The 13,650-nt window shown below is 37.3% G+C and overlaps 1 protein-coding gene across 2 annotated transcripts in view; it reads left to right on the top strand.

Annotated features, from left to right (window-relative positions):
* VWA8 (von Willebrand factor A domain containing 8) overlaps positions 1 to 13,650 on the top strand; it is a 394,275-nt gene that overhangs the window by 177,869 nt on the left and 202,756 nt on the right. For both annotated transcript variants that reach the window (NM_015058.2, NM_001009814.2), the window contains exon 20: positions 5,185 to 5,256. In NM_015058.2, the coding sequence (NP_055873.1) occupies positions 5,185 to 5,256 (72 nt within the window). The remainder of the gene's footprint in view (positions 1 to 5,184; positions 5,257 to 13,650) is intronic.

The raw sequence follows: 13,650 nt of genomic DNA, 5'->3' as shown, positions 1-13,650 counted from the left end.
ATATAAGTACATATATTAAGTATATTAAGTATATATATAAGTACATATATATAAAATATATACACATACACACATATAATTATATATGTAATTTTATATGCAATTTTTAAATTAAACATTTTAAAAACAAAGCAGAGCTATCATCCTCTTTTACTTGCTTGTTAAAGATTTCAGTAGTTCAGAGGGATATGTCCTATGCATCCTTTTTCTCATACTCTTCTTTTTCCTGCAAGTTTCTAGTATTTTTCTTTTCTTTCCTTTTCCTTTCTTTTTTAAAGGAGGAGGGTAGAGAATTCTCTCCTTGTAAACTAGCCAATAATTATGGACCTTCCACTAAGACATATAAGTTTGTATCTAGAAAGCTTTATTGTAGATGTTTACTTTAATAAGAATTTTTTTAGAGAAAATTACCTATAATATAAAAATGTTTTCTCTTCCAACTTTTCTGTCAAGTGGCTGTGTATTACTTTTATAGTAAAACAACTACTTAAAATTTTCTATAATATATTTTAAGTTATATTAACTTTATAGGTATCTAGACATATTATTCTTAATAAAAATCTTGGTTAAAAATTCTGAAATCTGTCAAAACTATATTTTTTATGTCGTAGAAAAGAGCATAACCTTGATTTGATTTTTATTCATTTTATAGCCAATTAACTAATGTTTTATTTTTCTTCTGGAGCATTAATGCTCTTGCACAATCAGTAAACAAATGAACAGAAAATAAAGCTACTTATAAGACACAAAAGTAGAAAGAAAACTTGCCTGTCAAAGGCAAAAACATGATTATGAGGAAAACATACTATTTCCAAGCACTGATAGTATTACACTCTATTCATATAGTGGAAAGGAACAAAGAGACAAAGAACAAAGAGACAAAGAGACAAAGAACAAAAGACAATTTGAAAAACTCCATGGTGGCAAAGATTGAAAAGACTTCACAGGATATAAGAATGTAGGAAATACAGTAGCAGCAAAGACCATTGTGCCCTTGAACACAATGTCTGTTGCCATGGTGTTTGTGACATGGACATTTAGGACTCAGGGCTGCCATGAACTTTACACAGTGGCCCTGAGGGACTTTTCTTAAGCTGTCTCCAAACGTACCTTCTCTTCTTAAAGCATTATGAATTAGCCATTAATGAAAACTTTTTAGCTGTACCAATTGTACGGACAGTAGCTTGATTAAATTTGCTTCCATTGTGTATATTATTACTTCCTTTTATGCTGTACTTCATCTTTGAAGCCGTAGTCAGTGCCTCTTGCAGATTTAGGTGCTTCTGTATCATCTTGTTGTCCTATGCCCTGTTGTGTCCTTACCACATTGTGTTGAAATGGACTTTTAAAACGTGTTTTCCATATCACTAAGGCACAGCCCTATGTTTTCTTTATTTAATATTTCCAGCAAATAGTAAAGTGCCTGGCACATAGTAACTGCCAAGTAAATATGTGTTTAGTGGATTAATAAAAGAATGAGTAAGATTTTGAATGTTCTTGATAAAGAGTATTACTTCATTAAGCCTTCCATTAAGGAATATTACATTTGCAGCAGTAAGGAGGAGAAGTTGGAGGAAAGAGAAATAATAGCCTCTTAATAAGCCTAAGGAGTTTTAGATGGGTAAGAATTTAAAAATACCCATTATGAGTCTGGCCTTGTCCTAAGGTATTGGGATACAGAGATTAAAATACACACACAAGTATACGCAGCTCTAGGGCTCAAGTTGTTCTTAATCTGCAAGTAAGTACACATAGTTACTACACAGTGTGGTGGAAGTATGTGCAGTTTACTTATGGTGGCATTGATGAGGTCGATTGACCCAGATTGGAATGATCATAGAAAATTGGTCAACCAGACCCAATTAGAAGAGTCTCTCAGGCAACGAGACTAGCATTAGCAGAGACTTAGTTATATGAGACAATAGCTCATTTAGGGAGCTATATATAAATTGTTGTCACTGGTATGAAGCTGAGGTTGCAAGTGGAAGAGTGCCAAGAGAAGAGGCTGGTGAATTAGGAAAGAGTGAGATCTTTTCAGTCTTGGTAGTTAAGGAATTTGGATTCTGTTCAGAAGAATGAGGAAGTTATTGAAAGATTTTAAGCACATTTGTACTTTGGCTAACTTAGCTTTTACTCTTTAGTATTGTCTAGGAGTTAGAACTAAGGCAAAGAGAAACTAGTTAGGTGGTTATTGCGGTAGTCCAGATGAAATTTATGAAGGATCTGAACTAAAGAGGTGACAGTGGGGACAGAGTGGAGAGGACACATTCCAGGGCTATTAAGGAGATCAAGTCAGTGGAACTTTGTGTTAGATGAACAGCAGAGATTCTTTCTCAGGGAGCACAATGTCTGGTGAAAAAGTAAACAGAAGAGTAAACAGAACATTATTCTAAATCGTGCCCATGGTTGGAAACACAGTATAAAAGGAGAGTGGTAGGAGATGAGGCTGAGACTAGATCAAGAATGTAAGCAATGACCTTTGTTCCTAAAGTATTAGGAGTCATTTAAGGAATTTTGAGAAATGAGGTGACAAGATTTTGAACAAAGAAGTGTCAGTACTGTAAGAACACATTGGCTCAAGGAGAGACTGAAGTTAGAGAAGCTAATTAGCTGATACAAATCTAGGCTAGAGATGATAAAAACCTTGAAACTGTGGGGATGGAAAAGAAAGGGTAGATGCAGTTGATTTTTGGTGGCTTAACAATTCAGGTGCTGTTTAGTTGGATGTTGATAAGAGAGGAATAAGGAGGGCAGGGTGATGATAATAGGAGTTTGGTCAGCTGGTAGAAAATGGTGCCATTAACTGGAGAAAAAGATACAGGATAAAGAATGAAGTTCAGGAGAAAGTAATAAGTTGAGTTTTAGATGTGTTGAATTTAGGTGACTGGGGAATAACAAAGTGGTTTGATCACTCAGAAATAGAGGGCTGTAGTTGAGGAGGAGTTTTGCTGTTGAAGATTGGTGTAGAGCTGGTCATTGAAGCCATGAGATAGATGAGAGGATTTAAGGAGAGCAGGGTCAGAAGTGGGTCTTTGAATGCTGACATGTGGGTATCCAACTCTGCACACAGCCCTCCCTCAACCCTCAGGTGGGTGCCTGGGTACAGATAGTCACAACCTGCCCCATACCATGAATACAAGGGGAAGCATGTAAGAAGGTAGAAGGAAGGAATTGCTACAGGAAGATCCAGCTCAGAAAACTATGGGAGAAATTGTTAGGGAGGTAGGAAGGAATCAGGGGAAATGGGTAACTGGGAGAGGAGACTTTTAAGAAATTGTCTGCAGTACTAAGTGGTCAAGAGGCTAAGAAGAGAATTGTATTGGCGGTGACTTTAGCCTTAGCTAAGGTTTGTTGACTTGAATAATCTAGTTAGATATAATGAGGGCATGAAGTAGAAGGACATGAGAATTGTAAAGAAGAACACAGATATAGTTTGGATTATTTTTCGATATTTACATTGCTTTTTTCTTTGGCTATTCAGGTACTTACTCCAACTTTTCAACGTAGATTAGCCCATTTATTACTGGAAGAGCTTAGTGTTTTCTGGAATTGGCACTGACTTTTCATCTTAGTGAAAAGGAAGAGGTCTCCATGCTATATTCCCACCAGAACTCAGCTTAAAATGATGTATATCTTGGTTTGCTTAACATAGTTTCTGCTTATACTTGTTGTCCCAGCATAATTATTAATAGTGTCTCTTTTTATTCTTAAAAGCATACACCTTATATCCATTTAAAAGTATTCAAGAATAGACAATTATATACTCACCTCACTTCAAGCCTTATTAAAACTCTAGCTCCATGGCATATCTGAAAGCATTTTTGAAAATAAAAACGACCAAGATAAACATAGGGAATACTCATTTGTTCCTGAAGGAGATAAAACACTTTCTCAGTTTTTCTTCTAAGGAAGAAACTGAAAGAAAATACTATTAAATTTGACAAGTAAAAAGAAAAATTTCTGTGAGTATGTATATGTATATTTTAATATTTATATCATATATATTTATATATTTTTATATCTATATATTATATATAATTTATATGTATATTATACAATATAGATATAAAGCACCATAAACGAAATTGAAAAAAGAAAGCAGCCAGGTGCGGTGGCTCACGCCTGTAATCCCAGCACTTTGGGAGGCCGAGGCAGGCAGATCACGAGGTCAGGAGATCAAGACCATCCTGGCTAACACGGTGAAACCCTGTCTCTACCAAAAATGCAAAAAATTAGCCGGGCGTGGTGGCAGGCACCTGTAGTCCCAGCTACTCGGGAGGCTGAGGCAAGAGAATGGCGTTAACCCAGGAGGCGGAGCTTGCAGTGAGCCGAGATCGCGCCACTGCACTCCAGCCTGGGCGATAGAGTAAGACTCCGCCTCAAAAAAAAAAAAAAAAAAAAAAAAAAAGTGACGTACTGGAAAAATATCTGCAGCATGTGTTGGATGCAAAAGGTTAATTTGCCTTTTTACAAATAGGGAACGTCAATAACTTTAGTACTTATTTAGCTGCTATTTGATACAGAAAACCAAGAGAAAGTAATAGGAATATTAATTGTGCTGGAGTGTAGATCTCTTCCCAGCCCTAAAGAACCCGCATGACCTACTTACAGGTGTCTTATTTTTCAAGATACAAAAGAGCAATGTAATTTCCTCTGTGGCTATTGTGAACAACCTTAATCTTGTTCTGTTATTATATTGTGTCATAATTCAAATTAAAAAGTGTGGAAGGTAAATAATATATTTTTAATTCTGAAGCTATCCATAGCTTTAAAGGTAATGGTTAAGAACAAGTCAATGTAAAATGTTCCCTAGAAGTGTACAGTTATTTTAGGAAGCCTTTGTATATTTACATTAGCAAGTATCAATTTAAATATTAAATTATAAGCCAACTCTACATAGTATAATAGGTAAAAAAATATTTGAGTTGAATTATTAAAAACTCTGAAATGTTGGTCAGTTGCTTAGTTTTGCTCAGGTGGACTATTTCAAGTTTTCAGTATCAGTGACCTAAATGGTTATATAATTTACTTATAACCACAGATTTAATTTTGGGTTATATCAAATCGATTGATAATTGTTTATTATAATAGATATTTATATTCTATAAAGATATCTTTATAGTTAACTTTCTTATTTAACCTTGATTGTACAAAACAGTTAACCCCTAGTTCCTTTTTCTCTAGCATGTGATAGTGATGGAAGATATGCTGAAAGACTTTCTCCTTGGAGAACACTTATTATTGGTTGGCAACCAGGTGAGTTATGGCTAAAATCTAGGTACCAATGAAAAAATGATAGTAACAATTTAAAAGCAGTAAGTTTCTTCTTGTTGGAATCAGTTATTTTTTCCCCTATTAAATGACTGGTTTAATTAAAGGATGAGACTCTGCTACCTTCTAAACTTCAAAATTACCTCAAGGTTTAAATCATGCTCCATTCTGTCCCTCATCAAGTTATGTACATTCTGTCTTATAAGTATCTACTCTTCTTGTCCACATCTGTCACTCTAGCCCCAGTGATCTTCACCTGTCACCTGGATTGCAGCAGTAGTTTCCTATGATAGCTCCATCCCCACCTTATGCCCATTCTTATCTACTCTCCATTCTGTAGTATCTGTTGTCAGATTGATACTTGTAAAACTAAAATCTGATTGAGCCTCTCTTTTTTGCTGAAATTGGCTCCCCATTTCTGTTAGGTATAGTCTGAGTCTTCAGTACAGTGTACAGGATTCACTCTCTGCCCACCCCTCTATTCCTAAGCCATGGCCCCTTCTTTCTCTCACTGTGTTGGCTTGAGGCACTCTGCAGTTCCTTATCTATTCAGTTACTTATCTCTGCTCTGGTCCTCAGTACATGCTCTTCCTTCTGCAGGGAGAACTTCCTGTCCCCTTCCCATATACCCTCCCTTTAACTCATGGAAGAGAGACCTTCCCTTGTCCCTGGCTGAATAGGTTTTTCCTGCTTCTACTCCCTTTTATCTCCCTTTTGTCATACTAGTCATACCATATGACTGTCTTTGCAACTTGTCTATATGTCCCTTGAGAGCAGGGACTGTGTTTTTCTTATTTATCTCTGTTCTCAGCTCCTAGCATGGTACCTGTTACATAGTAGACACTCAATGTATGTTTATGGAGGAACGTATGAAAATTTTAGGTTTACAGGGTCCTGATAATTTTCCTCTATTGAATTTTCAGGCTCACAGTGAACAGCACTTTTGGTTTTTTAAATTGGTCTTAAATTAAGGGTAACAAAGCTTCTAAAGTTTGGTTTCTATTTTTTCTTCTTTTTTGTATTTATAAAAATAATACATATTCTTTATATATTTAGCCTCTCAAACTTATCATTTTGAAGTACTGATTTAAAAATAAAAGTAAAAATGGGCCAGTTGTGTGCTTTATTGATTTGAGTGCATAGGCTTAGAAATTAGATAACTAGAGGCTCAACAGCAACTCTTCCACATATGGTTGTGTGACTTTGGGCAAATTGCTTATCTTACTAAGGCTCAGTTTCTTGATGTCTAACCTGGGAATAAAAATAGTATGGTCCCTTTGGGCTAACGTAAGGATGTCATGAGATAATGCGTGGGAAGTGCTTCACACAGTGCTCAGTTCTGTCAGCTAAATACCTCTGTATCACTGTATAGTTTAAAAGTAATATTCTCTTGTTTCATTTTTTAAAACAAGAATTAAAACTAGAACAATAAATTATTTATGACCCTTTAATTCCCACTATTTGAAAAGTCCTACCTATTTTTCTTCACTGAACAGTAAAAGATGAACCTATATACCAGAGTGGGAAGATGAAGATCAGTTAACAGTCAGAATTTGGCTCTTGATATTGAAACCCAGGAAGTCACATTCTCATCACACTTTGAAAAACAATGGCTCTGTGGACATTCAGGTTGTATATAGCCCAAAGTACTTTGTAAATTTTTTATAAGAGTTTCACAAACTCTTTATAAGTTAAACCTTGGTGCACTCAGTGTGTCCTTTTCAGAACTTCTGCCATCACCTGAATGGCCAGAGACACAGAGGCTTTTGGCATCCCAGCAGCGGCAGACCAGCATGGAGAAGAGAATAGACCAAGACTATACAGAACTGGGGCTTGAGGAATAATTTTTCTAAGGTGCAGGTTTTTAAAAGGAAGATCCCTAGAGGTCAAGGTATGGAGTCCAAGTGGTTTTGAAATCTCTGTCATGGTATTGCTATCCTGAGGGTTTGGTGGGTTAGATGCAGTTGGTTTCTTGGCAAAGGTAGCACTTGCAATTGAGCAGGTAATAGATTAGAGTTTCAGGAGGGTCTTCTAGTTTAAAAGGTTGAAGTTAATGCCTAGCCAGTAACCAGAGAGACAGGAAGAATGTTTTAACCTCTGGAGGATTGGGGAGAGCTATTCAGAGTGAAGGGTGAAGTAGAACAGAGGTTTGCCTCTGCTTTATGATGAATGAAGCAGAGACTGTGAAAGTGTTTTGGAATTGTCCTAGGGTGCTATACAAACCTTGGCATAAAATCTAATATGCTATCTCTCTTTTGTTTCCAGTCCTAAAGAAAGGAACAAGGCATTAGAGCAAAGAGCTAGGCAGCGGGGTGGAGGGAAGGGCAGCTACAGCTCCATAGGTAGATGGTTGGACTCCAGCATCTGATAAGGATGGTCAAGCCCACTGATTTTCAAGCCTGTCTAGGACTGGTTCAGGATTCAGCTAGATAGAGCCTTCAAGTTGAAGATCCCCACGAAGAGCAAGGCAGGAGCCACGGGTTGGCACAAACTTTCATTTATCAGTTATTTTGCAAAAGCCATCTGTGGTCAGCAGATCACACTGTCTTGCCATCTTGTACTCTTATCCTGCCACTCTCCACTTTGGAGAAAGAAGAAATTACAAAGGGAGATTGTATTCAGTATAATTTGCTATGTTTAGCTGACCCTTTTCATATCAAAAGAGTTTTCTGTTCTTTGATTATAAACCTCTAAGACCATCAGTGTTATATTATAATACCAATGTTGAAGGAATGTTTTTTTGGAAGTAAATTCTGCTACCTATGTTCATTATATTATATAGTGAAAAAGTCTAACTCTCTTAGACTGTCATTTGATGTCCTCCATGATCTAATCCTGCTCTGCTTTCAGCCTGGTGTCTGGTTTCTCCCTGTAAATGCTTTTTTTCCTCAGACAAATTAAATACTCTGTTTCCCAAACATACCTTCTTATCAGTGTTATATTTCAACCTCTAATCTTTGCCAGCATGCTCTCTTCTTTCTCTTACCTTTGCCCATTCACATTCTCTTAACCTCAGAGTGGCAATGTGGCATCATGGAAAAGTAATAAGCTGGGTACCCAAAGACCTTCCTTCCTTTTCAGATTTTTTAACTCTCTGTGATAGTTGAGTAAATTGTTAGTGAGTAAATTGATATGTGTGATATCAACTGATATGTGATACTGAGTAAATAGTTATTCCTTCTAATTAGGGCCTTTTCTTTTTTCTTATCTATAAAATTATAGGCTTGGCATGGATATTTTCTAGGGTCTTTCTGGCTGTAATATTCTAGAATATGCTTCTTTAATAAAGTGCTTGTGAATGCTATGGCTTGAAGGCTTGACTGCACTCTCTGAAGTGTGATAGGTCACTTACAGATTTCTTTTGGGATTTAGTTAGATTTATGTATTTACCCACCATCTCTATGAAAAAGAGATAAAGAGTCTTCATTATTTTTGTGTCTCCCTGATGCCTTGCATACCGTAGACATTCAACAAATACTTGCTGAGTTAATTAGTAGATTTTAAAGGACTATCTGAAATAAATTCCTGGCTGGGTGCAGTGGCTCATGCCTGTAATCCCAGCACTTTGGGAGGCCAAGGTGAGTGGATCAGTTGAGGCCAGGAGTTTGAGACCAGCCTGGCCAACATGGCAAAACCCTGTCTCTACTTTAAAAAATACAAAAATTAGCCAGGTGAAGTGGCATGCGCTTGCAGTCCCATCTACTTCGGAGGCTGAGACAGGAGAATCGCTTGAACCTGGGAGACGGAGGCTGCAGTGAGCTGAGATCGTGCCACTGCACTCCAGCCTGGGAGATAGAGCGAGACTCCATATCAAAAAAATAATAATAAATAAATAAATAAATAAATTCCTAATGAGTAGCCAAAATGATTTAGAAGTAATATGAATTTAAAATTTAGGCTTAGTTGGATTGTTTTCAGGGGGCTATAAGACAAATTGAAATGTCTTTTTCTCTGAGCTTGCAGCTGTTTAAGTGAAGGAGACTAATGAATTAGATAAAATCTAGGGACTACCTACTCAAGAGAGTAAATAGTTAAGTAGCCCATTCAACTGGATATAGTTCTATAATGACAGGATCAGAGACTGGCAGCATTATCACTAAGACAGAATAATGAAATGCTAATTATTTTTAAATTTCTAATAATAAAGTGCTGATTAGTATTTAGCTAATTAAATCATACATAACTTTGCCTGTGCTTGCATTTACCAGGTCAAGGGGTGGAAATTGGACCAAGGCAGCTGGTTAAAATCTAAATAGAACTGTTTGAATCCTTTAGCCAACTTCAATTCCTTTCTAATGTGTTTTCATAAGGTAACATCTGTGCTAAGATCTGGGCAAGATTCTATGGTTAGACTCTTAGCTGCTTCTGTTTGGTGGGTACGAGGGAGTACAGAGCCACCTGTAGTATTCCTTGACTAATGCAGTACCCCACAGAACTGTGCTTTGCTAAGGACTGGCATAGAGTTTGTGTTCTCTTTCTCTGTGCTGTTCTGAGTGCTGATCATCTAGGAGAGTTATATATTTGGGAATGTATATTTTTGCAGTGATAGTAACTCAGGTCCTTCTTCAGTAGTTTTAAAAAATGCCTTGTTTCATTGGTCAATGGTATTTCATGCTTTTCTTCATATTTGATGCACCTGCTCACCTTCACCCTTATTTCCATCTTCTGAAACAAGACAATCAAAGAAGATCAAGACAGGCAAATAAAGGTGCAGATAATAGGTGGAGGACAATTGACTCTCAGCTCTCCTGGGGTAGTGTCACTGGTGTTTTCAGTCAAATGCAAAGTGACAGTCCCCTGTGAAAATGCCTATTTTAATCACATAACTTATTTTTAAAGTAAATGAATCATGTGTAGCAATTGTTCAGTCTCCTTTCTTTCTCCTTCTAAAGCATTGTCTACAGATATATGCAGTCTACACAGCCTTCTGTTTGCAAACCAGAAACTGGCTGAACTCTATGAAAGAAATGTTTCAACACTTGAAATTATATCTAGAGATGTTTTACAAGACTGCTCTGTTACCAGTGGCAACTTTTACAATGAGGAAATTAAAGAAAATGGGTGCTGATTTTGAGGTATCTGAAGGTTTAACATCTTTACTAAACCCAATTTCACCTTTTTCTTGCAGATACTATCTTTTCTAAGAATCTATGATACTAGAAAAGATTTTACATCTGTTGGGAAGCTAAATACAAGCACCACTTGTCATAGTAAAATAAAGTAGCCTGCCCCTTATTTATAATAAAATTGATTTTTAAAAATCCTATTTTCTGTGTGAGATTTTATGACACAGCACATAGTCTTTCCAGTAAGTGCAGCAGAACTGCTGCCTTTCTGCCAAGTGGGATAGAGTACCATGAAAATACACATGTTTGAGGGTCACTTAGGGTATAATGCTGAATATTATAGAACCACTTTAGCATGCATTACTTTCTACCTACTGTAATTATAACATTATATGTACCTTTCATTACTATTAGGAGCTTCATGCTGATTTTTTTTTTGTTTGTTTGTTTTGTTTTGTTTTTTTGTCACAGTATGACTTTCCAATTAACAAAAAGAGAGATGGCTATTTATTTTCTAACCAGTGATATTTTTTCTATGCCAGCTGTAGCTCAAGAATAAGTTTCCTGCCTTCCCCACCTTCCCAGACCTGGTTTTCTTTTGATGTATAGTGTCATATTCAATTTGATATACAAAATATTTATTGTGAAAATTGGGGGCTATAGAATCAGCCATAAGTGCCATATTTCTTTTTGTTTAAAAAAGTCCCTGCCGGAGGCCGGGCGCAGTGGCTCACGCCTGTAATCCCAGCACTTTGGGAGGCCGAGGCGGGCGGATCACCTGAGGTAGGGAGTCCGAGACCAGCCTGACCAACATGGAGAAACCCTGTCTCTACCAAAAATACAAAATTAGCCAGGCGTGGTGGTTCATGCCTGTAATCCCAGCTACTCAGGAGGCTGAGGCGGGAGAATCGCTTGAGCCCAGGAGGCAGAGGTTGCGGTGAGCTGAGATTGCGCCATTGCACTCCACCCTGGGCCAGGAAAGTGAAACTCCATCTCAAAAAAAAAAAAAAAAAAAAAGTCCCTGCTGGGTGCAGTGGCTCATGCCTATAATCCCAGCATTTTGGGAGGCCAAGGTGGGCGGATTGCTTGAGTCCAAGAGTTTGAGACCAGCACGGGCAATATGGCAAAACCCCATCTCCACAAAAAATACAAAAAAAATTAGCCAGGCATGGTGGCATGCACCTGTAGTCCCAGCTACTCAGGGTGCTTAGGCAGAAGGATTGCTTGAGTATGGGAGGCAGAAGTTGCAGTGAACTGAGATTGTTCCATTTCACTCCAGCCTGGGTGACAGAGCAAGACCCTGTCTCAAAAATAAAAATAATAATAAAAAAAAGTCCCTAAGAGTGAGTCTCTGTTTTTGTGTAAGAATACATGTGTTTTGAGAGACAGTTGCTCTTTATCAGATATTTGAAGGCAAAACATATTTTAGGAATGTTGTGTTCTGAAATGTTCAAGTATCCTTACATAAGAATTATTTTTTAGGCTGGGCGAGGTGGCTCACGCCTGTAATCCCAGCCCTTTGGGAGGCCAAGGTGGGCGGATCACCTGAGGTCAGGAGTTTGAGACCAGCCTGGCCAACATGGTGAAACTCTGTCTCTACTAAAAATACAAAAATTAGCTGGATGTGGTGGTACTTGTCTGTAATCCCAGCTACTTAGGAAGCTGAGACAGGAGGAATGTTTGAACCTGGGAGGGGGAGGTTGCAGTGAGCCGAGATCACAGCACTGCACTCTAGCCTGGGCGATAGAGTGAGACTCCATCTCAAAAAAAGAAAGGAATTATTTTTTAAATATTCAGTGTTTTGTTTTTAGAAATAAAAATTTGATCTACATATCATAACATCACTTGGTTTCTGATATTAGACAAAATTTCAAAGTAAGTCATCAAAAGTTAATTTATATTTAATGAGGCATAATTAATAATTCACAATCATTTCTACATGACTATTGTCTAATAAAATCACTTCCCAGGGTTTGTCAGCTTTTTTTTTTTTTTTTTTTTTGTCATTTTAAGCCAGCTTTTTATATCACTTTACAAAATAACAGTCTGGTAAAATTTTTATACTGAAACTTTTCTTGTATTCCCATCCATATTTTTTGCCCTTACTAAAACTCCAATATATTATATATTTCTTATAAAATAAAAAGCCAATTCTGGCTGATTTTCATACAGGATGCCTTCTCTATCCCTGATTTTCATTTTCTTCATGTTTTTACATTACTGAGTCTGTAGGTACTCATTTCAATTCTATGACACCTTCTGATCTATCAGCAGTGAGGGATATCCTAGAAAGAATCTCTTAATGTTATTTATTCTAAAAGGTGAAAGTGGCTCTATCTTGTCTACCAGATAAAATCCCCTTCATAGAGAGACACTCAGAACCACCCACAATCTGGCTCCAAACTCCTTTTATAGTTCTAGTTCTTTCAAACTACAGTTTCTTTTCTTTTTTTTTTTTTTTTTGAAACGGAGTCTCGCTCTGTCGCCCAGGCTGTAGTGCAGTGGCGCGATCTCGGCTCACTGCAAGCTCTGCCTCCCGGGTTCACGCCATTCTCCTGCCTAAGCCTCCCGAGTAGCTGGGACTACAGGCGCCCGCCACCGCGCCTGGCTAATTTTTTTGTATTTTTAGTAATCTGGGGTTTCATCGTGTTAGCCAGGATGGTCTCCTGACCTCATGATCCACACGTCTCGGCCTCCCAAAGTACTGGGATTACAGGCGTGAGCCACCGCGCCCGGCCTCAAACTACAATTTCTTACACTTCCTGAGTGCAATATCCCCTTCCCCATTTTTCATGTTGTTTGCCTCATATGGTGCCTCTTACTCTCATCTTCGCCTGTGAAAATTCTGCCGACTTTCAAGAGTTCAGATGTTTTTCTTCTATGAGGCTTTCTTTGTCTCTCCCAAAAAAGAAGTAATCTTATTTTCTTCTGAACTTTATAGTATTTTCTCACTATGTTGATTCAATCGTCTTTTAAAATTGTTGTGATCCGTGTTTGATTTCATCCATAATTGGTTAAAAGTTTCTTATGAACTAAGATTAAAAATAGTAATATTTGTATGTCTTAGAATTTTCAATGTACTTTTATATAATTTCATTTAGTTCTACATCAACCTTTTGAGGTAAAAATTTTTATTTTCCACCTTTCACGAATAAGCAGACCAGTTCAAAAAGGTAAAAATATTTGCTCAAAATTACATAGCTAGTTAATGTCAGAGTTAGGTATTAGATCTCCAAAGCTCATGCTTTTTTGCATCATAGCACACGAATTCCTGTACTAGGCAGAACAACAACAACAACAATAATATAATAAC

This window comes from Homo sapiens, chromosome 13, assembly GCF_000001405.40.
Source record: "Homo sapiens chromosome 13, GRCh38.p14 Primary Assembly".
NCBI classification, from domain to species: domain Eukaryota; kingdom Metazoa; phylum Chordata; class Mammalia; order Primates; family Hominidae; genus Homo; species Homo sapiens.
This window is presented reverse-complemented; position numbering and strand designations above follow the sequence as displayed.